Raw genomic sequence first — 23,411 nt, forward strand, 5'->3', positions numbered from 1 at the left:
TTTACCCTCACATCAACACTCGACCCTCAGTTCCTGATTAGATCCTGATTCGCAGTCACGCCAGAGTAACAGAAACCTTGGGACCTTCACGATTCAGTGCTACTCCCATAGTAACTAGTCTCTAAATATGTCCTCTCCCCAAACCAATGAACCATGCCTCCCAGTACTCAATGCAACAAAAGGATGGCATGTGACTTGAGAGACTAGGTCATATGACTTCCAAGGTTTTGGCCAGGGCCTCTTGGAATGCCTGCCTTGGGTAAAACCAGACACCATGGAAGAATTCCAACTAGCTTGAGTCCACCATGCTGTAAGGAACCTCAACTAGCCACACGGAGAGTCCATGTGGCAAGAGAGATGCCAACCAGCTTCCAGCTGTTCTAGCCACCCAGCTGAGGTGCCAGACACAGGAGGGAAGAAACCGTCTTGGACGTCATGTCCAGGTGAGCCACCAGGTGGCTCCAGCTCTAGTTGCCACCTGACTGTAACCCCAGGAGAGGCCTCAGGCCAGAACCACTCGGCCGAGCCATGTCAATCTACAGAACCAATCTCATTATCATGAGATAATACAGTTATTTGAAGCCACTTGGTTTGAGTGGTTTGTTATGCAGCAGTAAATAACTAGAAAAACTTGCAAAACTTAACCATGTGTTCGTTCCGTTAGCCATTTTTTTCATTGATTCAACCAACAAATTTTGGAAACAAGCAAATACAAAGTCCAATATGGGGCCCTGTGAGGAGTTTGCATTCAAGCAACATTAAGAATCTGTTTCTAGTCTGGCGTGGTGGCTCACGCCTTTAATCCCAGCACTCTGGGAGGCTGAGGTGGGCAGATCACTTGAAGTCAGGAGTTCGAGACCAGCCTAGCCAACATGGTGAAACCCCGTCTCTACTAAAAATACAAAATTTAGCCAGACATAGTAGTACCTGCCTGTAATCCCAGCTACTCGGGAGGCTGAGACTGGAGAATCGCTTGAACTCAAGAGGTGGAGGTTGCAGTAAGCCAAGATTGTGCCACTGCACTCCAGCCTGGGCAACAGAGCAAGACTCCATCTCAAAAAAAATAATAAATAAATAAATCTGTTTCTACTGGCCAGGCACTATGCAGGCACTTCCACAAGTTCTACAGACATTAAACTAGCTGTTACAAGTTTAGACTCTGGTATCAGACTGACTGGATTGAGTTCTGGCTTTACCACTTACTAGACTTTGGACAATTTGCTTAACCTCTTTTGCCTCAGTTCCTTCATCAATAAAATATGGAGGATGAACATGAACCTTATAGGGTTTTGTGAAGATTAAAAGATCCACATAAAATGCTTACATGCTGGTAACAGAGTCATCACTAAACAAAGGGAAATATTGTTCATAACTGCAACCAGCTTCTGCTTTCGAGGAACTTAGAGGTATGTCACAGACAAAATAATATGCCAGAAATGAAGCAAGCACCCATGAGTGTTTCAAATGAATGAGTGACTCCGTGCAAGATGAAAAGTACCCTGGTCATGAGAAAGGGGGAGATGGGTGCTCAAAGGCAGAAGGATGTTGTGGGTGTTCAAACGTAGGAGAATTACTTCTGGCTGAGATGCTCGTGGGAGGCCTCCTGGAGGAGGTAGCTTTTGGGCCAGCCAGTGAGGGGTGGAGAGGACTTTAGCGTCTGTGATAGGGAAACCACCCTTCTGGGAAGTGGGTGTGGAACAGCATGAGCACACAAACCCAGGCCCTCAGGAGCCCACGTGCACACCGGCTTAGTTGGAGCATTGAGTTTGGGAGGGGAGAGGAGAGACAGAGGTATGGGGCCAGATCATGATTTGACGACTTCCTATGTTTATGTACTTGGTGGAGCCTCCAACACAGAGCCAGGCATGTAGGCCAGGGAGGCTGTCCAAAAAGGGCCTTCCTGAGGGAGAGGGAATGGCAGAAATCAGGCCCTGGCCCCAACCCTGGCTCAGCACCCAGGGGACCAGAGGCCCAGCCAGCCAGGACTGTGGTTCCTTCTTTGTGCTCTTGGTTCGTGGTGCTGTGGAGACTGTGTATTGGAGGCAGCCTGGGTATCCATTCCGTCTAGCCCCTAGGAGGGCTGGGAACTTGCTGGAGAACCAACCTGGGCTCCACACACTCATTCCTCCACCTTCCTCAGCACCTACCACTTCTCTCCTTTTGAGGCCACTTTTTAAATATGGCCATCGCCTCTCAACCCCCAAATCCTCCTTGGAAGACTTCTTTTTTTTTTTTTTTTTTATACAGAGCCTTGCTCTGTAGCTCAGACTGGAGTGCAGTGGTGCAATCTCAGCTCACTGCAACCTCCACCTCCTGGGTTCTAAGGGATTCTCCTGCCTCAGCCTCCCCAGTAGCTAGGATTATAGGCGCCCACCATCACACCCAGCTAATTTTTGTATTTTTAGTAGATGCAGGGTTTCACCATGTTGGCCATACTGGTCTTGAACTCCTGACCTCAAGTGATCTACCCGCCTCAGCCTCCCAAAGTGCTGGGATTACAGGCGTGAGCCACCACACCCAGCCCCTCCTTGGAAGACTTCTGTCAGCTAAAACAGAGACAGTGGGTGATCCTGATTGAGAGGGACGCCCTCCCTACCTCCCACCCAGGCCATGGGGAGACATGGAAGGCACCAGTCCTCCATCCTTCAGTGAGCTGGTTCACCATCCTCTGCCTCTCTCGACTCACAGAGCCTAGGTTCAGATCCCAGCTCCACCACCTTCTAGCTGTGTGATTCTGGGCAAATCACACCATTTCTCTGGGTCTGTTTCCTGATCTGGAAAATGAGGAGTACAACTCCAATTCTTCTGTAGGGATTGAATGGAAAAATAAAGGTGAAAGCTCAGGACATAATAAATGCACAATAAACACAAGGGATTAGGACCTTCCATAGAGGCTTCCCTCTTCCCTCCTTCTTCCCTCCTGAGCCCCCTGCCTCACACCTGGAGCCCATCTCGCGGTTCTGTCCAGGATCCCTGAGCACACCCTCCCTGATCTCCTGGCCCTGCCTGGCCAGCCCATTGCCCTGGGGGCTGCCTGGCCAGGGGGCCCACTTCTTGCTGGGCTGCCAGAGGGGCCTTGAGTGTTGAAATCCTTCCATTCCACAAGGCCAGAAACTTGATTATGGTATTAATTAAAGCAAGATGCCAAGTCTGGGAGATTTATTTTCTTTTCCATATCTGTGGCTGTAAATGCCACTCAGGGAGCTCAAAGGCCCGTGTCAGCCTGCATCAGGCTCCTGAACAGACGTTCTGTTCCCAGTTTGGTCTCCTCAGCCCCTCCTTCTCAGCACCAGGAAGGAAGTGTGTGTCGTGATACCCACGCCTCACCCCAATTTCCCCTCCTCCTTCTGCACAAGGCGAAAAGGGGGAAATACCTGGGCAATGTGGGGTGGGGATGAAATTTTCCAAGAAATTTGTTTTAAGTTTCTGCCTCATCATTATAGGACTTTCACGTTTCTATTTTTAGCTGCGCAAACGAGCCAGGCCCACATTCCCCTCATCTCCCCCTGCCCCAACCTTTATTTATACAAAGCACATGCTGGAATCATTATTTAAAAACCTCCAAACCCATAATTGCTCAGGTAGGTGAAGAATGCAGCCTTTATGGCTGTCGCTTGCGGAGAGGGCTGCAGTGTTAGTGGGGAACTATGGCTTATTCATATGTGTACCACCCTGTACCTCACCCACCCTGAACCCCTGGAATGCCCAGAAGAATCAAGTAACTTAGAAGCATTTGTGATAATAGAGTTTGAGCATTTTATAAGAGGAAACGGCCCTACAGTACAGACGAAACTTGTCCCAAGACCCCTCCAAGATATTGTTGTCGTCACTGGGATTCGAACCCAGAGATGTCTCAACTTCCAGCATGGTACTAGTCATTCTACCCTACCATGAAAATTAGTGGAAAGCTGGACTGCCTGAGTTTGAACCTCAGAGTGCCACTTTATTTTTATTTATTTATTTATTTATTTTGAGGAGTCTTGCTGTTTCCCAGGCTGGAGTGCAGTGGTGTGATCTCGGCTCACTGCAACCTCCGCCTCCCAGGTTCTAGCAATTCTCCTGCCTCAGTCTCCCAAGCAGCTGGGATTACAGGCATGCCACCACACCCAGCAATTTTTTTTTTTTTTTTGAGACGGAGTCTCACACTGTCACCCAGGCTGGAGTGGTACAATGGCGTGATCTCAGCTCACTGCAACCTCTGCCTCCCGGGTTCAAGCGATTCTCCTGCCTCAGCCTCCCGACTAGCTGGGATCACAGGTGCCTGCCACCACGCCTGGCTAATTGTTTGTACTTTTAGTAGAGACAGGGTTTCACTATGTTGGCCAGGCTGGTCTCGAACTCCTGACCTCGTGATCCGCCCACCTCGGCCTCCCAAAGTGCTGGGATTACAGGCGTGAGCCACCACACCCGGCCAGAGTGCCACTTATTAACTGTGAGACTTTGAGCAACTTTTATCAAACCCTTCTGTATCTCAGTTTCCTTATCTATCAAGTGTGGATTACAAAAATACCCACCTGATAAAATTGCGTAAGGATTTAATGAGTGCCTGAAAGAGAGTAAGCCTGAGGTCCTAGCTCGGATTTCCCCAGAAAGCAGAGCCAAGCCATTAGCCACGCCGAGGAGTCATGCGTTCCCACGTAGGGAGTCGCTTTTCTCTCTGTGCAGTGGGGACCGTGGAGTATAGTTACCACTGCTGTGTTCTTCTAGGAGGATTTCTCTTCACCATTGTCTTCCAGGGTCACCCCAGGGGGTGGTAACTGTCCATGTTTTGCCAGTGCTATATATGGCTCCAACCTACCTGTGAACCAGCCGAGTTCTTTTCTTCAGTTGATCCTAAAGAACCCTCTGAGGCCATACTTGTGAGCTGAGTCAGAGCTATCAGTTTGGCCAGGTGCAGTGGCTCATGTCCGTAATCCCAGCACTTTGGGAGGCCAAGGCAGGAGGATTGCTTGAGCCAGAAGTTCAAGACCAGCCTGGGCAACATAACAATACCTGGTCTCTACAAAAAATAATAATAATAAAAATTAGCTGGGCGTGGTGGCAAACACCTGTGGTCCCAGCTACTCAGGAGACTGAGGTGGGAGGATCTCTTGAGCCCGGGAGTTTGAGCCCAGGAGTTTGAACATAGACCCTGGCCGGGCGCAGTGGCTCACACCTGTAATCCCAGCACTTTGGGAGGCTTAGGCAGGCGGATCACCTGAGGTCAGGAGTTTGAGACCAGCCTGGCCAACATGGCAAAACCCTGTCTCAACTAAAAATACAAAAATTAGCATGGTAGTGCATGCCTGTAATCCCAGCTACTCGGGAGGCTGAGGCAGGATAATTGCTTGAACCCGGGAGATGGAGGTTGCGGTGACCCGAGATCATGCCACTGCACTCCAGCCTGGGTGAAGAGCAAGACTCTGTCTCAGAAAAACAAAACAAACAACAACAACAACAACAAAAAAAAAAAACCATAGTGAGACCCATCTCTATTGAAAAAAAAATAGAGAAGTGTCAGTTTGGAAAAGGTAGTTATATGGGTTCTGCCCTGCTATCTGTTCATATAATTTATTTGTGCCTGCTGAACCTGCTTGGACCCAACCCCAAATAAACCATTTCCATCATATAACTCGAAGCATTATAACTAGCATTTTTATTTGGAAGCTCTGACAATACACAGCTCACAACAGACAGGCAGCTCTGCCACATGGTCACCTGCATTCCACAGTGAAGTACTCCATATCTACCATTGTTCGGTGTCATGCCAGGAGCTGCTTTTGCAATGGAGAGTCCTCTCTGCCAGAGAGGCCTGGCCTTGATACAGAACTCCAGGGATCTGTGCTCTGACCCTCCCCGTGGATCTCACAAGATGCTCTGCATGGTGTGCCGATCTAGCAGCGACACCTCTGACACTTTCAGATCAGCTGGATCAGATGGTCTAAGGGGCACAGCAGCTTGTACCTAGGGCTGCATTATGACTTTCATGGACACTAGGCATTCCTGCCTTAGCGGACCTCGTCTTTCATCTAAAAAAAAAAAAATGTAAGGCCAGGTGCAGTAGCACGCCTGTAATCCCAGCACTTTGGGAGGCCAAAGTGTGGATCACCTGAGGTCAGGAGTTCAAGACCAGCTTGGCCAACATGGTGAAACCCCATCTCTACTAAAAATACAAAAATTAGCCGGGCGTGGTGGCGCACACCTGTAATCCCAGCTACTCGTAAGGCTGAGCAGGAGAATGGCTTGAACCCAGGAGTCAGAGGTTGCAGTAAGCCAAGATGGCACCACTGCACTCCAGCCTGAATGACTCAGTGAGACTCCATCTCAAAAAAAAAAAAAATTAAAATTCTCTTTTGTGACTCCATTGGTGGTATAAAAATGAACATAATCTAGAATGGATCATTATTATTATATTCATTTTTCTTTTGATTTTAAAATAAATTAAAATCTTTTTGTGGGCTCATGAAAATATTAGGAGCCCTCCTCCCTGTGGATAAGCAGGCCCCACTCGCACTGCAGTCTGGACACACTGCAGAACCCTCTCTTGCTGTCTGCCTACTCAAAACTGGCAGCTTTCTAAGTCATCTAAGGAATGAGTCAGAGCAGTATTAGCAAGTATGCTAAAAGCTGCCTCCAAACTCCAAAGGGACCCACCAGGCATTGTGTCTATTTCTTAGCAGTAAGATGTGTAAGGTACAACAACTTGTCCTTTACTTTAGAGGAAATGTACTAGCACGCCCCAGACCACTATATCCCCGCAAACTTCACCAATGTGGCAGGTCTGCAAATCTTTGTAGGGCTTATATGTCTTTCCAGGGTATTTAAGGTACTCACTGCAGCCTCTGACTCCTGGGTTCAAGCAATTCTCCTGCCTCAGCCTCCCAAGTAGCTGGGACTACAGGTGCATGCCACCACGCCTGGCTAATTTTTGTACTTTTAGTACAGACAGAGTTTCACCATGTTGGCCAGGCTGGTCTCTAACTCTTGAGCTCAGGTGATCCACCTGCCTTGGCCTCCAAAAGTGCTGGGATTACAGGCATGAGCCACTGCACCTGGCGAGATTGTTTTAATCTTCAGTATATGAGGGAAAAGACCCACTATCATTTACCATCTAGGACTAATGGAACACTCTTTTTTTTTTTTTTTTTTTTTTTGAGATGGAGTCTCGCTCTGTCGCCCTGGCTGTAGTGCAGTGGCACGATCTCTGCTCACTGCAAGCTCTGCCTCCCAGGTTCACACCATTCTCCTGCCTCAGCCTCCCAAGTAGCTGGGACTACGGGTATCTGCCACCACGCCTGGCTAATTTTTGTATTTTTAGTAGAGGCAGGGTTTCACCTTGTTAGCCAAGATGGTCTTGATCTCCTGACCTCGTGATATGGAACACTCTTAAATATTTTAAATCTTTTTTTAAAAAAAACTTACAAAAATAAAAACAAAGGGAGAGTGAAGAACAACTTTATTATATATTCTAAAAAGAATTTAAACATAACAAACCTAAATTTTTATTTCTTATTTTCCTGGTTTGGAAGGTACATACTTTAAATGGACAACAGTCTCTGAATACACCTAAATTCTCATCAACTGCTATGCACGGACCAGGAACACATGCATCTTATAAATACAGATTTCAGATTCAAAATGCATCTCTATTGGATTCTAGCTTCTCATCATTTCTGATTTTCCTTCTTGCACTTGCAAACTCAAAGTGCAATACTTTAAGAATTTTTTTAAGCAGGAACACGTGTACTTTATTGAATGCCATTGTAGAAAAGTGTGTGAGGTTAAAGGGCTGATACAGGACTCGGCTCCAGGGGCAGGTCGAGGAATGGAAGGTGGAGTGTGTGTGCGACAGGTCGTGGGCAGAGCTCCTGGCCTGGATGCTGCCTCCTGTTCTATTGATAGACTTGAAAGATCAACACTGGGATGAAGATGAGCAGAATGCTCATGAGGATGCCCAGAACCAGGGCCCAGACGTTCAGGCACTTGGCGGTGGAGGCACAGGCCTGGCCCCCGGTTAGGTCGCCAACCATCTTCCTGTCCCTAGACTTCATGGAGTAGGTGACTGCTATGAAGCCCAGGCAGCAGGAGTTCATGAAGAGGGTGTTGAACAGGGACCAGACAACATGGTTGGGCACAGAGGTCTCGCTGTGGATGTGGATCACGGTGGACCTCGGGGGAGCAGAGTTGTGGGGTGCCCCCAGCACAGCCACCTCATGCTCCTACTTGAGCATCTGATAGTCTAGGGGGCAGCCGGTGTTGGCGGGAGTGAAGAAGGTTTGGGCAGTGTGGTTCATGGTTACTCAAAGACATTTTTGAAATTGTTAATGGCTTATAATTTTGTTGAAGACAACACAATAAGAAAACTGTAGACTGGGTTGGGCATGGTGGCTCACACCTGTAATTCCAGAACTTTGGGAGGCCAAGGTGGACAGATTACTTGAGCCCAGGAGTTTGAGACTAGCCTGGACAACATAGTGAGACCCCATCTATGCAAATAATAAAAAAAATTAGCTGGCCATGGTGGTATGCGCCTGTAGTCCAAGCTACCCAAAAGGCTGAAGCAGGAGGATCACCTGAGCCCAGGAGGTTGAGGCTGCAGCAAGCTGTGATCACACCACCACACTCCAGCCTGGGTGACAGAGTGAGACCTTGTCTCAGAAAGAGAAAAAAAAGAAGAAGAAAGAAAACTATAGGGTGATACTACACTGATGATTTATAATATTTTTCCATCATCCTCCTAGGCAATTCCATCATCATTCCATTTTCTTATTATTTTAGTCTTTTCCGCATAGCTTAGAATAGTTAATAAGTGATGATGAAGTAATTTCTAGGCTGAGGAAATGGCAAAATTTTTCAAGAGATAGGAAAAATGAGATCATACAATTCCATAATATATCTTAGATTTAAGAAGGTGTCCAATGGGCCCGTGTGGTAATTGCAAGATAAAGCAATATTTTTCTATTTAAAAATAACATACAATTTCTCTTTTTTTCTTTGGAAGATCTCTAAGGAAGAATAAGAGCCATGAAATGTCAATCCTTACAACAGAACTGCTCAAAAAAGAAACTAACTAGAACCCTGATTCCATCCTAAGAATTAGGATACACTAAGCAAAAGCTCTACTCTCAAATAAGAGACTTAGTGCAGTGGCATAAAGCTAAGTCTTGAATTCTGAACCTTGAGGTAAAATGTATTAGGAGAAAGTGACTGGGACTGTTGGTACCATATTAGTTGGGGTAAGATAAGCTGCTATAATATGAGAAGACCCTAAAATGCAGTGTCTTTAAGAGCAAAAAAGGCAAACATATTCCTGCTCTCGTTCATATCCAAGGTGAAAGTTTACAATTGGCAGGTATCTCGACTCCATGTAGAGATTCAGGGATTCAGGTTTCTTCCATCTGGAGGCTCTGACATCCCTTGGGAACATGTTATCACTCTCATGGTTGAGGACTCAGCTGGAGGGAATGGGCAGAGCTCACAGAGAAGACCCAGCCACTTTCTCAAGGCTTGGCCTAGAGAGATATGCATCACATTCTATTAGTAAGAACAAGGTCACATGAACACTCTCAGCCCCAAGGGAGGCTGGGACTTGTGGTCGGGCTATATGCCCATGAAGGGGAGGAGAATGAACTTTGGTGCACAGCAAGCAGTCTCTGCCACAGGGAATGACACGATCCTTTGATCATAGCAAACAAGTCCATTTCATCTCCTAAAGGTAATAAATAATTGGACTACATTACAAAGCAGTAACTCTGGCTGGGCGCGTTAGCTCACGCATGTGGTCCCAGCATTTTGGGAGGCCGAGGCGGGCAGATCACTTGAGGCCAGGAGTTCAAGACCAGCCCAGCCAACGTGGTAAAACCCCATCTCTACTAAAAATACAAAAAAATTAGCCAGATGTGGTGGTTCATGCCTGTAATCCCAGCTATTTGGGAGGCTGAGACATGAGAATTGCTTGAAACCGGGAAGCAGAGGTTACAGTGAGCCGAGATCGTGCCATTGCACTCCAGCCTGGGCGACAGAGCAAGATTCTGTCTCAAAAAAGTAAAAAATAAGGCCAGGCGCAGTGGCTCACACCTGTAATCCCAGCAGTTTGGGAGGCTGAGGCGGGCGGATCACCTGAGGTCGGGAGTTCAAGACCAGCCTGAACAACATGGTGAAACCCATTCTCTACTAAAAATACAAAATTAGCCAGGCATGGTGGCACATGCCTATAATTCCAGCTACTTGGGAGGCTGAGGCAGGAGAATCGCTTGAACCCAGGAAGGAGACAGAGGTTGCAGTGAGCCGAGATCACACCATTGCACTCCAGCCTGGCGACAGAGCGAGACTCCATCTCAAAAAAAAAATTAATTAATTAATTTAATTTAATTACAAATCAGAAATAAATAGAAAGCAGTAATTCTTAGTGGGTCAAAGTTGAGAATCAAAATCACCATGGAAGCTCTTTCTCATTTAGTTTTACTGAATCAGATGCTCTGGGAGATGACCTAGGCAAATACATTTGGTTTTTTTTTAGACGGAGCCTTGCTCTGTTGCCCAGGTTGGAGTGCAGTGGCGAGATCTCGGCTCACTGCAACCTCTGCCTCCTGGGTTCAAGCAATTCTGCCTCAGCCTCCCAAATAGCTGGGATTACAGACACCTGCCACCACGCCTGGCTAATTTTTTTGTATTTTTAGTAGAGACAGGGTTTCACCATGTTGGCCAGGCTGGTTTCGAACTCTTGACCTCAAGTGATCCACCCGCCTCAGCCTCCCAAAGTGCTAGGATTACAAGGCATGAGCCACCATGCCTGGCTGGCAAATACATTTTGAATAAATTCTCTAGGCAATTCCTCTATGATTAAGATCTTCTGTTCATTAGAGTAAGAAAGGTAAATCCAGTGTCTAAGGAGTCCCTTTCTGTAGTTAGAGGCCTTGTGTGGGGATTTGCCTGGCTATGGTTTGTGTCCTCATGGGATTCCTGAGATTGTATCATATCCCAGCCTGCGATCCCCTCCCCAAGCCCAGATCTGGCCCTTAGCAGGCTCTGAGTAATTGTTTAACGTATTATTTTTACTCTCACAACCGTAAGAGTGGGGAAGTCCTCTGAAATGCCATTAAACTAACAGATAGAAACTCTGTATGTCCCTTGACTCAATCTGGTTTCAAAAATAAGCATAAATAAACCATCTCAGAGAAAAGGCATTTCAAAAGTGTCCCCTCCCATGAAGTGAAACCATCACTGTGAGGCCGGAGACTCCTGAATGAGCTGAATGATGCAAAACTGTAACACCACTCTCTGCAACAGCCCTGGGCACAGCAACTACTTCCACCCCGTCCCCAGTGGGTGGGACTCTCTGGAGCAGAGCTCCCCCAGCTTGAATGTGAAATTGCAGATCCTGCTTCAGTAGATGTGGGGGCGGGTGCTGAGATGCTGCACTTCTAACAGATTCCCAGACATGGCCAATGTCACTGGTCCACAGACCAGGCTTTGAGTACTGAAGTTCTAGAATGCAAATGAGCAGGCAAAGGTAAGCTGTCTTAGAGCAAATGCAGAGACTCCCACCTGGCAGCTGAATCCATAGTTTACTCCTTCCCATCGGGTCCTCTTTCCTCCCTATTTCCAGCCTCTTGTCTTTGGGGACTGGACAGATATCTGTTCCAAACTTGAGGGTCTTATAGCACCCAGAGATGTGACCTAAGGTGAAAGGTGAAATCCGGAGCTTGGAGTCCTTTTCTCTAAGGGAATTATCTTCAAGCATCCTCTGGATGGAACAGAGACCTAATGAAGTATTTTCTCAATGACCCCAAGGCCAAGAACCTCAGAACAGGCAGAAGGAGGTTGTTCTCTCCAGCATAAAGAAAGGAACTGTGGTAGATTTCCTGGGTCCTATTCATTTGCGACATTTAACAGACTTTATGTCTGGACCATATGTATTCCCAAGTTCAAGCCGAATGCACTGAATCTCTCAGCTGGGAAGAACCGTGGTGTCCTGGTTCAAGGATCTATTTTCCTGATTGAGACAGACAGGCAAAAAATAACCTAAGGCCACAAAGTTAATACTATTTCCATGTTTCTGGGCTTCTAGCCTAGGCCTAGAGGTTTTCCCAAGAAGTCACACTGCCTACCAGACTTGTAGGAATGGAGGACAAGCTGCATGCCCAGCCATCTCCCTGCCTGGCAGCTAGGCAGAAGGGACTATTGGCCACGGGCCATCCTGGGTCCCCTGACTTGACCCCCAAGCTGCTTGCCTTGCAGAACGCCCTGTTTAATGCTTTATTCCTCCCAGTGTTTCATTATTGATTCAGCCCCTCGCTGCCGGGTCTGACCAAGTAAGCTGTGAGCGTTTGTCTAATGTCAATTTCATCAAAAATGCAGGAGTTGGGGTTTTACTCGTCTGTGCGCTACCTAGACGGTTTAAGTCGATGATTAGTGGTTTCTGTGAGCCAAAGAGGGCGCTGGCAGCCCACAGGCTGGTTTCTGGCTTCTCTGAAGCGATGCTGGGTCCCCAAAGCTCTGGAGAACCCAACAGCCTCCATCTCGTTAAGGTGGGGATGAGGCTTGGGATGAGGGGATTGACTGACGTGGAGAGTTAGGAGGTTGGGAGTGGTTTTTTCAAACAATTACCAGCCAAGTTTAAAAACAAATTCAGCAATGCATTATTATGTTGTCATTAAATATTACAGATGCAAATCTAATGAGAAAGAAAAATGTTTATTCTTTCATCTATTTAAAAATGTTTATTGAGCACCTATTATGTGCTAAGCGCTAGACTAACAGAGGTTAATGAGGCTTACAAGGTTCTAATTCTCATGGAGCTGAAATTCCATTTAAGAGAGAAAAATCAGGCTATAAAATAGAAATAATAATAGTAACAGTAAAGGTTTACTGAGTACTCACTATGTGCTAGGTAATATGCTAAGCACTTCACATAGAGAATGCTTCTATTTTCAAGGTATATTTTTAAAGCCTGTATGTATATCTGCTCATAGAAAAAAGACAGGAAGGAAAAAGCATTAAAAGACATTATCCTCAGATTATAAGTTTATGGAAGACTTTTATTTTCTTCTTTTTACTAATCTGAATTCTCTAAATTTTCTTGGAGGAAAGGCATGTTCATGTGTTGCAACCTTAAGGAATCGGTCATGAGAACTTGAACCAGAGGTAAGAAAAATTTTTAAATTAAAAAATTAATGAACTAATTAATTAATTAAAAAAGAAAATAGTCAGAGAACCTTAAAATGCTTCTCATTTGCTGCCTGATGTCTCCAGGCTCCAAGTATATGAGGCGAGGTGCTGGCCTGCTCCAGCCACTCTGGGTTCTGTCCCAGCTCGGAAATTCACCACCTCTTCCTCCCTGGAGGATGGAGTCGCTGGAGAACCCTGATACTGTGGTCCAGCGCCATTTGGCTTGTGGTCAGGGCTCGGGGAGGGCTGAGGCATCTGAAGATTGAGCCTGTGGAAAGGAACCCTTTAATGCAATGTCCCCAGATGGGCATTGGGAGCCCCACTCCCTCCTGGAGGTGTGCAGGTGCCAGGATCCAGCCTTTCCTACTAATGAAACTCCAATCAGATCGTGACAGCAGGGGCTGCTGGCCAGCCCCACTGGACCCCTGCCCTGGTCAGGGAAATGGAGGATGACAGCTATGCCACTGTCTGAAAATCCTGGTGCCCCTGAAGGCCCTGCTGGGCTGCTCTCTGGCTCTGGTGTACCCGGAGGGGAGACAGGGGATGGCTGCCCCACAGTGATCACGGTAACCCTAACAACAATGTTACACTTGAGGAAATCCAGCTCTGAGTTCTTGACACACAGGGAGGCCTGACACCAAACACTTGACATTTCTTCATTCATTCATTCAATCTTCAGTATTATCATTATCATCCTCCTTTTACCTATATGGAAACAGAGACCCAGAGAGGTCAAGTCACTTGCCCAAAGTCACACAGCCAGGGAGCGTAAGGCTGGAAGGTGGACTCCAGATCCCACACCCTAACCATTCAGCAACACTGTCTCCCATTACCTGTCTGAGATCTCTGGGGACAGCGCCGTAGAAGGCTGTCCCACCAGGACTGGACACATGAGGAGGAGAGCAGCTCTGGTCCCCGAGGAGGCAGCAGAACACTTGAGTAAAGGGTAACAGGCAATGGGTGTCAGGCAGTCCTGGCTTTGAATCCTAGCCTAGACACCTACTCACTGTGTGACCTTAGACAAGTCATTTTACCTCTCTGGGGCTCTGTTCTCTCATCTCTGCAATGGAGATGTAATGCCTAACTTTTCAGATGGCAGGCAGGTTATTTTCAACACAGAAAATTACTAGTATTGATTGAACACCTGCTACATATGCCAGAAGCTGTGCAAAGCACATCACATGTGCTAGTTAACCTTTTTAATACCCTAGGACACTGTGATTATCTCCACTTTACAGATGAGAAATCTGAGGCTTAAATAGGTTAAGTACTTCAGAAGGTTACCAGAAAGAAGCGAAGCCAAGATGTGAACCCATGTCCTCTAAGGGCACAAGCCCTAGGCTCAGCCCATCTGCCATATGTGCCACCTGTGCATCAAATGAAATGATGCTTGCCAAGGACTCACGTCAAGTAACCAGAGCTGTCATTGCATGGCCACAATGTGGACAGAGAAAATGCATTTGCACCTAGCCCAGCGCCTGGCACTTTGGGAGCCCCAATAACTGTGTGTATTAATGGTTCCAGTTGTCTCAGGCATGGCAAGGCTACCTGTAGCAGCCAAGACCTCTTCGCCTCTTTGTTCAGCCCAGTGAGGGCTCCTGGGGAAGCAAGCAGGTCCCATCTCCCCAAAACTCTACAGTTGACTAGGGAAGTGAAGAAAGACACAGCTGCAGCAGTTACATAACTGCTTCCTCCTCCACAAACCAATGAGAGCAGATAGGAGCCCCTTGAACCCCTTCCAGCCCTAATGCACCTCTAATCCTGCACAGGATTGGCATGAGGTGAAACAAAAAGAATGTGGTTCAAGTGCTGTTTTATCAAAAATGTTCCTAGGCCCGGGCTGCCCACGGAACTTTTTCTGTACAAGCATCACCGGGGGGCCCAACATCCCTCTCAGGACAGCAGTAGATCTTTAGGAGGCTCTAGATCCTGGTGTCCCAGGGTGCAAGAAGTGCGTGTTTGTGTTCTCCATTCATCCTGCATTGACCCTACATTTAAAGGCCAGTTGCTTCCCTGTGTCCATCAGAGGCTTCCAGAGCTCCTACCTGATTCCAGGTGGACTAAATCCATTGTCAAGTTCTCCCGGCCCCCTAGACCTGCATAAAAGACAGATTTGTTACAATTGGAAGAGACCCTACCAACATCCCATTGTGATCTATTCACTTTACAGATGACCAAACCAAAGCCCAGGGAAGTTAAGTGACTTGGCCAAGGCCACACAGCTAGTGAATGATGTCACTGGAATTAGAACCCATATCTCTTGGCACCTAATTCAATACTGCTTCTGTCACTGACCTGTTTCCTGAGCACCCAGTAAATGGTAATTATGTATTGCCTGATAAATGATGACTCCAGACTTTGGGTCTTGGTGATGTTTCTTGACCCTGAATCCGAGAGGTCTTGCACAGGCCACAGAGGATTCTTGGGTGGTAGCACTGCACAAAGCAGAAGGGAAACTTCTGGAGGAAGGCCATACCTCTTACCTCCACCCTCAGGATAGAGCCACATGCTCAATGCATTCCAATCCAGGATCCAGTTCTTGCTCTGCCATCTTAGGCTAGTCATTTCCTATGTGAGCCCCCAGTTCATCTGCAAAATGAAGAGGAAAATTCTTTATGGGCTCATTGAGAGGTGATATAGTTTGGATGTTTGCCCTCCACATCTCATGTTGAAATTTGATCCCCCATGTTGGAGATGGGGCCTAGTGGGAAGGGTTTGGGTCATGGGGATGGATCCTTCATGAACGGCTTCATGCCATCCTGCAGAAATGAGTGAATTTTTGCTCTACTAGTTCACAGGAAAACTGATTGTTAAAAATAACCTGGCACCTTCCTCCCCTTTCTCTTTTGCTCCCTTCCTCACTCATTATGGGACACTCTATCTCCCCTTCCCCTTCTGCCATGATTAGAAGCTTCTGAGGTCCTCACCAGAAGCAAACATTGGTGCCATGCTTCTTGTACAGCCTGCAGAATTGTGAGCCAAATAAACCTCTTTTCTTGGCAAATTACCCAGTCTCAGGTATTCCTTTATAGCAATCCAAATGGACTAAGACAGGAGGAATAAGTGAAATACCACGTAAAATGTAGGGTGCAGTGCCAGGCTCAGGACATGCTCAGAACAGGCAGGGCCAACATCCTCTTGGTCCCAATGTAGACAGGTTTGTGTGAGAAGATGAAAAATAGGATCAAAAGTAAGTCATCAGATCTAAGACAACATTGATCATAAAACACACCATGAATGTATGCACCACTCAGAATGGAAAACACTGCAAAATAAACTATGACTCCATGCTTTCTCATCACTTAGAATTTTGATTACATGCTTAGAGAAAGCTTTTTCAACTTACACGCGGATTTTCATCTATCCCGCTTGCACATACATAAAATGAAATAAGGCACCTAAATTTGTTACCATCTCCCTAAAACCGCTTCACATTCAAAGCCAGGCTCTTCTGAATTCCTTTCAACTTAGAGTCATTGGAGTTCCTGTTTTCCCACACAATATTGTCCTCTTACCTTCAAGAGCACTGGTGATGTGGCATTTTCCAAATGATTCCATGAAAGAAGAAAAAGCGAGGAGTACTGGGTTCTTACCCCAGCTTTGTCATTGTGTGGCGCTGGCTCACTTTTGTGTTTTGTTGGTTTGGGGGGTAATTTTTTGTTTGTTTGTGGGGAGTTTTTTGTTTTATCTTTTTTTTTTTTTTAAATAATAGAGATGGGATCTTGCCAAGTTGCCCAGGCAGGCTGGTCTTGAACTCCGGGGCTTAAGCGATCCATTGGCTCACTTTTGACTCCTGTGTTGGGCAACGCTGCTAAACATGTCAGAGTCACCATTTTCCCACATCCCTCCCACAACCATTTTGTTACTAATTTCCCCTCGGATTTTCTACCAAGCCACTCCCTCCCATTCTGCAAGTGTTGATACGAAAGCTTTTCATGTTTGCCCAGGCAACTATAAGACACCACTAATCGTAAGACGCGTGAAACTCCAGAGGTGTAAATACATGGAAATATTTGTTTTATAGAATGACTGATTTTGAAAACAACATTTATTAAGGCTCCACTATGAGCCAGGCCCCATGCAACATTTCGTTTGTTTGAGTTTATTATCATTCCTTTATAGATGAAGACACAGAAGCTCAGAGAGGTAAAGCAATTTGTCCAACGTCACACAGCTAATAAGTGACAAGGCCAGGATTGGAGCTGAGGTCTCTTTGGCCTTGTCACCATAGAAGAGATGGATCCTTTCCCAGGTATTTCCTCCAACCTGACTTCTGAGTCCAAGGGGTTCCTGCAAAATTAAATCAGTCCTGACTTTGGGAAGCCCTTCCCATCTTTTGATTTCCTTGTTTTAGAGAGTAATAACAATAGTTCTCTGTGCCAGGTGTTATTCTAGCCACTTTATGTGCCCTAGCACACATAATGTTCCCAAGTCCCTAATGGAGTGGGTTCTATCCTTAGCCCCATTTCACAGATTAAGAAACTGAGGGGGTGCGGAGAGGTAATGCCAGGTACACAGCTAGGAAAGGGAAGGGCTGGGATTCAAACACAGGCAGTTTGGCTCCAGACCTCCCTCTCCTAGCCCACCCCACCCACCATGTCCCCAGACTAGCACAGGAAACCCTCTGCAACCCCAAGCCCCCTCCCCATCCCCATTGCCCTGAATCCTGTTGACTTTCGTGGTGGCCAGGCCCCACTCCCACTGTGCTGTCAGGCTCAAGGCAGATGGATGGCCTTCCCTGGCTAGGCTTGGCTTCCCAGTTTCTTCACACTGGACCCAAACACAACACAATCTAGCGGCCCTGGCTGCTCTTCAGAAAAATACGCAAGGCGGGTGTGGAAAGAAATCTAATTAGAATTCCTTAGAGCCCCAGCAATTCCTCTTATTAAATTAGTTCCCTTTGAAGTGGAACTCAGCTCATTATAATAATTTGAATGCTGAGGAATTGTCTTATATGTTCCTGTCTGAGAAAAATTGCTTTTACAATTGCATTTATGCATGTCCTGGTCTCTGTCCATTGGGACAAAGGACAGCTGTCGATGCTAAGTGGTTCCTGCTTTGGAGAAGAGCTGGGGGAGGGTCCGGGGGATCTGCTGCCCTGTGGGCTGGAGCTGCTGAGGTGCAAGTGGTAGGAGCTCCACATACATGAGGGGGACAGGCTGCGTAGGTTTCCTCCAACATCTCAGCCATGGCCCACATCAGAAAGCTATACCAGGACATGGAGGCTGGTGGGGAACTTTAGAAAGTCCAGGTCAACATTTTCGCATGGACTGAATGACCCAGAAAAAGAGATGTTCAAATACAGACCTCCTGGCCTGCATCAGCCTCTCCTAGCTACAGATACCAGTGCCCCACCCCCGGAGATTCTGATTCTTCAGGTCAGCAGAGGGGTACTAGAATCTGTGCTTTTTTAAGCTCCCCAGGGTAATTCTGAGATGCAGCCAGGTTTGGGCCCCACTAGCCTGGGGTGATTGGGGACCCTGCTGCAGTGCCTTAGCCCTGATGTTACAATTGGAAGGGACCCTACCAACATCCCATTGTGATCTATTCACTTTACAGATGACCAAACCAAGGCCCAGGGAAGTTAAGTGCCCCAAAGGGAGCCACTGGACAAAACAGCATTCTCTACTGTTATAGAAGGGGATTCAAGGACTCCCCGTGTTACAGAAGGGGATTGAAGGACCCCCCCCCCAACTCCGCCGGCCCCCGTTACAAACGGGGATTCAAGGACCCATGAGCCGGCAAAATGCTGCAGGGTCTGTTTGGCGGCTGATTGTCTTTGTTGCCCTGGAGTCTGGGAGAACCGTCCCTACAGAGTCCCTGGGGACTCCTGTCTCATACTGGCCTGCTTCCAGACACCTCTGGTTCAGTGATCACATTTTTGTGCCCTTTATTGAGGACATAAACAGCAGGTAATATTTGCCCTGAAAGTCCTAAAAGAAATGTGGTTTTTGGGATTCTGACATCTGCCCATCCTTTTTGACGTAGTTCAAGTCTCACCTCCTATTAAAAAAAAAAAAAAAAAAAAAAGGCCGGGTGTGATGGCTCATGCCTGTAATCCCAGCACTTTGGGAGGCCAAGACGGGTGGATCACTTGAGGTCAGGAGTTCAAGACCAGCCTGGCCACATGGTGAAACCCCATCTCTACTAAAAATACAAAAATTAGCCAGGCATGGTGGCGGATGCCTGTAGTCCCAGCTACTTGGGAGGCTGAGGCAGGAGAATCACTTGAACTTGGGAGGCAGAGGTGCAGTGAGCCAAGATTGCACCACTGCACTCCAGCCTGGGTGACAGAGGGGGATTCCGTCTCAAAAAAAATTTAAAAATCCTTTGCCAAATACCCCAGCCCCATACCTGCCCCACGCCTGCCCCATGGCTGCTATCCCTTTTCTGGCCCCTACAACCCCTATTCTCCATATTGACCCCCAGGCCACCACCTGACCATGTCCCTGGCTCCCTGTGGCTTCTCACTCTCCCTGACCTCTACACATTATTGGTGCTATGGGGATTCGAAGCCAGCAGTTCAATTTTATTGCGTGCTGTCTATAGTAAATGGAGCCCCAAAATGGATCTTCACAAAAGCCAGCCTGGACCAGGGTCTTCATCGGAGATCTGATCTGTTGTCCCTTAGGAGATCCCGGTGGGCCACTGGAAGCTCAAGGACCAGGGCCCATCATTCCCTCTGTATAGATGAGGAGCCTGAGCCCCAACCAAGGTCACACATGCCAGAGTCCCTACTCTTGTCCTCATCCTTCATCCACCCATGTGGCTTCTTGTTCCCTCTGAGTAAGCAGATTACTGCAGGGGTGTTCTTGCCTCCTGAGCAACTATTTCCCACCCAACAGATCTTCTGAGAAGATTCCACATGTGCCCCCCACCCCACCCTCTTCCTGCAGAGGAAGGAGCTGTGGAGTCAGAGGCAGCTCCAACCCCCTGGGCTGGTCCCAGAGAGTGTGGCCTGGACAAGGCTCTGTGCAGTGGCAGATCATAAGAAGAAGGGGACACGATGTTCTTGAAAAGAATCATGTCAGAAAAATGACTTAGTCTCAAGGGTCCTTTGTGCTCAATACAGCTTCTCTCCAAGTCACACCCACTTCCCTTCCTGACCCAGGCAGGGACTCCACAGCTTGGGGTGTAATGAGCTACCAACAACAGTGTTTTTCCAGTGACTCTTGTTCCTACATCCCCTTGAATATGAGACCCTAAAAAGAACAGATCCAAATATCCAATTTCTGAAGATGTTTTCACCAATGATCATTAGTCTAACCCTGACATGGAATAAATCCAACCCTTGCACTAGTTTGCAAAGAATACTCCTGCTGTGACATTCCAGATGATGTCAAAGGCTAGCAAACCCAACAGCTTGCAGCAGAACAACCACAGGGTGCAGCCTTTCAGACTACTCTGCTTCCTTCTTCTGGTCTCTCATCCAAACCCTTAATTACTGTCTATCCACACTGCACTCTACTGTGAGACACACATACTGCAAAACCAGAGACTCAAGACTCAGAAGGCATTTTCCAAAGCCTTCTGAATCCCTTCCATTACCTTTAACTGTGAGGTTGCCAAAGCACATTTGATCACTTGTGACCCCTTAATCCTTGCAACAACCCTAGGGCAGATTTCATGTGAGCTTGGCATCACATAGGCTTGGGTTCCGGTCTTGGCTCTGCTACTCTATGACTTTGGACAAGTCATATACTCTCTAAGCCTCAGTTTCTGTATCTGTAAAATGGGAATGATAATGCCAGCAGGTTTACTCTAAGGGTTTACTGAGATTGATATGTAAATGTCTTATCTCAGTGCCTGGTAGAGATTGACTACAATGAATGTTAAGCATTATTATTAACCATCATCATCATCATCATCAATCATCATCATCATCATCATTATCTTCCATTTTACAGATGAGAAAACTGAGGCTCAGAGGGAAAGTGGTTTCCCAAGAGACACACAAGTACATGAGGAGTCCCAGAGGCAAATATATCTCTCTGATTCTACCTTCTGAGCCCTTTTTATTCAATGATGCTGCGGAGTTCAGCCTTTAGGGTGAATTTAGGAACAAAGGCCCCTAACAAAACAAAGGCTCAGAAAAGATCAAGATCGAATAAGATAAAGTGACAAGGGGACACCACAAAGGATCCAGATGAAGAGGGAGATCTCCATGGATTCCTGCCATAGCTCCTTATTGACACAAAACACAAAGGAACATTAGGAAAAAAAAAAAAAAAAGATTGGACAGGAGTGGAGGTAGAAGAACAGGAACCTCAGAGACTGAGGAAGGGAGCTGGAACATTAAACACCAAACCCGTCCCAAATCCACGGTCCCGCTCAATGCTCCCTAAGTTAGGTAGACCCTCAGCGCCAGCCCCTTTGTGGATGGAGAAATAGCTGATGATCAACGCAAAGGACTAAGCACTGCTGCCAAAAGCCACCAGCCCCAGAGACAACAGAGGCTCCCAAATTTCTAGCCTCTGATCTCTGCCTCGGAACATTCTTGGGTCAAAATAAATGTGGGAACCCTATGGTGGAGTCTTGAAGCTGGAAAAAAAATCCAACATGTCGCCCAATGCAGCCCAGTCCTTCCAGGCAAAACCACACCAGAACTATTCCCGACAGATGCTAATTAGATGAATGGTTTTAAATTAAATAATAGGGAATGGGCAGAGCGAAGGGTGCCAAGGATCATTGAAACAGAAATGTTGTCCAGGGAAAATAGTGGTAAAGACCAGAATTCCTTATGCACACACAAAGGAAGCGCAACACAGGTCGGGACTTGTTTAGACCCCAAGGACTGATGATGGAGCAGAAGCTACTCGTCCCCAGGCAACCAGGGGAGAGCTTTGGCCTGGGCCCCTCCGATTTTCAGCCAAGCTGCTGGTGTCTTCCTCCCCTGAAGGTTCACCAACTACAGGAGAAGGAAGAGGCCTTAAAGCCCTGCAAAGGCCATCTCTCCAGCTTCATCTCCTCCCCTCCAGCCTCCCTCTCCTCTAAGGCCAACACATAGTACTGCTTTCCGTTCTTAGAATGCGTCACACTTTCCCTCCTTTGCAAGTGCAGTTCCCTTTGCCTGGAACATCATTCCCTCAGTCACCTCTCACTCCCGGTCCTCTTGCTAACTCCTACCCTTCCTGCACGCCTAGGCTTAATCCTGGGAAACCATTTGCCACCCCCTTCCGCAAAAAGGCACAGGCTCCTGCTGCCAGTGCCTGGAGAGCTCCTTGTGTCCCACCCCAGCCCAGAGCATGTCAAAAAGAAGAGATGAATGCCAATTTCCCATAGTGTGGTCCACTGCTTCCATTTTTGAGGCAGAAAGTAATGAGCAGTGGGTATCTAATGTGCCCTTAAATATCTTTTTTTGTTTTTTTTGTTTTTTTTGTTTGTTTGTTTGTTTGTTTTGAGACAGGATCTAGCTCCATTACCCAGCCCAGATCTAGCTCTGTCCGCCGAATGGTGTGATCACAGCTCACTGCAGCCTCAGCTTCAACTGCCTGGACTTAAGCGATCCTCCCACCTCAGCCTCCTGAGAAGCTAGGACCAGAGCCATCCACCCATGCCAAGCTAATTTTTAAATTTTTTTGCAGAAACGAGGTCTCACTATGTTGCCCAGGCTAGTCTTGAACTCCTGGGCTCAAGCGATCGTCCCACCTCAGCCTCCCAGAGTGTTGGGATTACAGGCATGAGCCACCGTGCCTGACCAAGATCTTTAAATAGTAATAAAACAGACATTTATTAAGTGCATCTCATGTGCTGTGCGCTGTTCCAAGTGCCTACACTCCCCATCTCAGTTAAGCACACACCACCCCACGGGCAGGCAGCTGCTATCATTATCCCTTTCTCATGGTGGGGAAGTGAAGATCAGAAAGGCTGAATAACTTGCTCAAGATCACAAGTCTGGACTTGACTGCAGGCCTGGCTGATCCCAGAGCCCAGATCAAGAGTCTCCCCTGGTGCCTCTCCCCTAAAACCACCTCAGAAACCCCCTGGTGTGTAACTCTAAACCATGCCTGCGGCAAACTCAGCCCATTTCCTCTTCTCGCATCTTAAGCCCAGATGGGGTCTGAGTGACACTTATCTCATACCCTGTCATAGAGCTGGAGCCCCACAGGAATGTGGAACTCCCCATGGACAGAGGGCAGGAGGAAGTGACCGCCGGCCCGAAGGGGGCTTGGTCCACTGGGTCCAAAGGTGCCGTCTGGCCCTGGCTGCCACATGCCTCGTGTCCACAAAGCAGAAGTCACAGGGACAGGGAAGGAAGCCCG

General features: G+C 47.3%; 1 long non-coding RNA gene and 1 pseudogene across 1 annotated transcript, besides 5 other annotated features; both read right to left on the reverse strand.

The window, feature by feature from the left end:
* Positions 1,403-1,462: an enhancer, noted in NCBI's record as "active region_445". NCBI's record gives its function as "activates an Ori minimal core promoter by ATAC-STARR-seq in GM12878 lymphoblastoid cells {active_cell/tissue: GM12878}" and the evidence as "EXISTENCE:reporter gene assay evidence [ECO:0000049][PMID:35858748]".
* Positions 1,513-1,622: an enhancer, noted in NCBI's record as "active region_446". NCBI's record gives its function as "activates an Ori minimal core promoter by ATAC-STARR-seq in GM12878 lymphoblastoid cells {active_cell/tissue: GM12878}" and the evidence as "EXISTENCE:reporter gene assay evidence [ECO:0000049][PMID:35858748]".
* IFITM3P7 (IFITM3 pseudogene 7) lies at positions 7,712-8,276 on the reverse strand (annotated as a pseudogene).
* Positions 10,924-11,243: an enhancer, noted in NCBI's record as "active region_447". NCBI's record gives its function as "activates an Ori minimal core promoter by ATAC-STARR-seq in GM12878 lymphoblastoid cells {active_cell/tissue: GM12878}" and the evidence as "EXISTENCE:reporter gene assay evidence [ECO:0000049][PMID:35858748]".
* LOC124903880 (uncharacterized) lies at positions 13,983-15,738 on the reverse strand. The gene is made up of 3 exons (XR_007065551.1): positions 15,633-15,738; positions 15,195-15,245; positions 13,983-14,083 (listed from the first exon to the last, which is right to left on the reverse strand). It is a non-coding gene; the product is annotated as an uncharacterized LOC124903880 (long non-coding RNA).
* Positions 21,968-22,168: a silencer, noted in NCBI's record as "peak125 fragment used in MPRA reporter construct". NCBI's record gives its function as "represses an SCP1 promoter by STARR-seq MPRAs in K562 erythroleukemia cells {active_cell/tissue: K562}" and the evidence as "EXISTENCE:reporter gene assay evidence [ECO:0000049][PMID:32103011]".
* Positions 22,994-23,113: an enhancer, noted in NCBI's record as "active region_448". NCBI's record gives its function as "activates an Ori minimal core promoter by ATAC-STARR-seq in GM12878 lymphoblastoid cells {active_cell/tissue: GM12878}" and the evidence as "EXISTENCE:reporter gene assay evidence [ECO:0000049][PMID:35858748]".

This window comes from Homo sapiens, chromosome 1, assembly GCF_000001405.40.
Source record: "Homo sapiens chromosome 1, GRCh38.p14 Primary Assembly".
In the NCBI taxonomy this organism is placed as follows: Eukaryota; Metazoa; Chordata; class Mammalia; order Primates; family Hominidae; genus Homo; species Homo sapiens.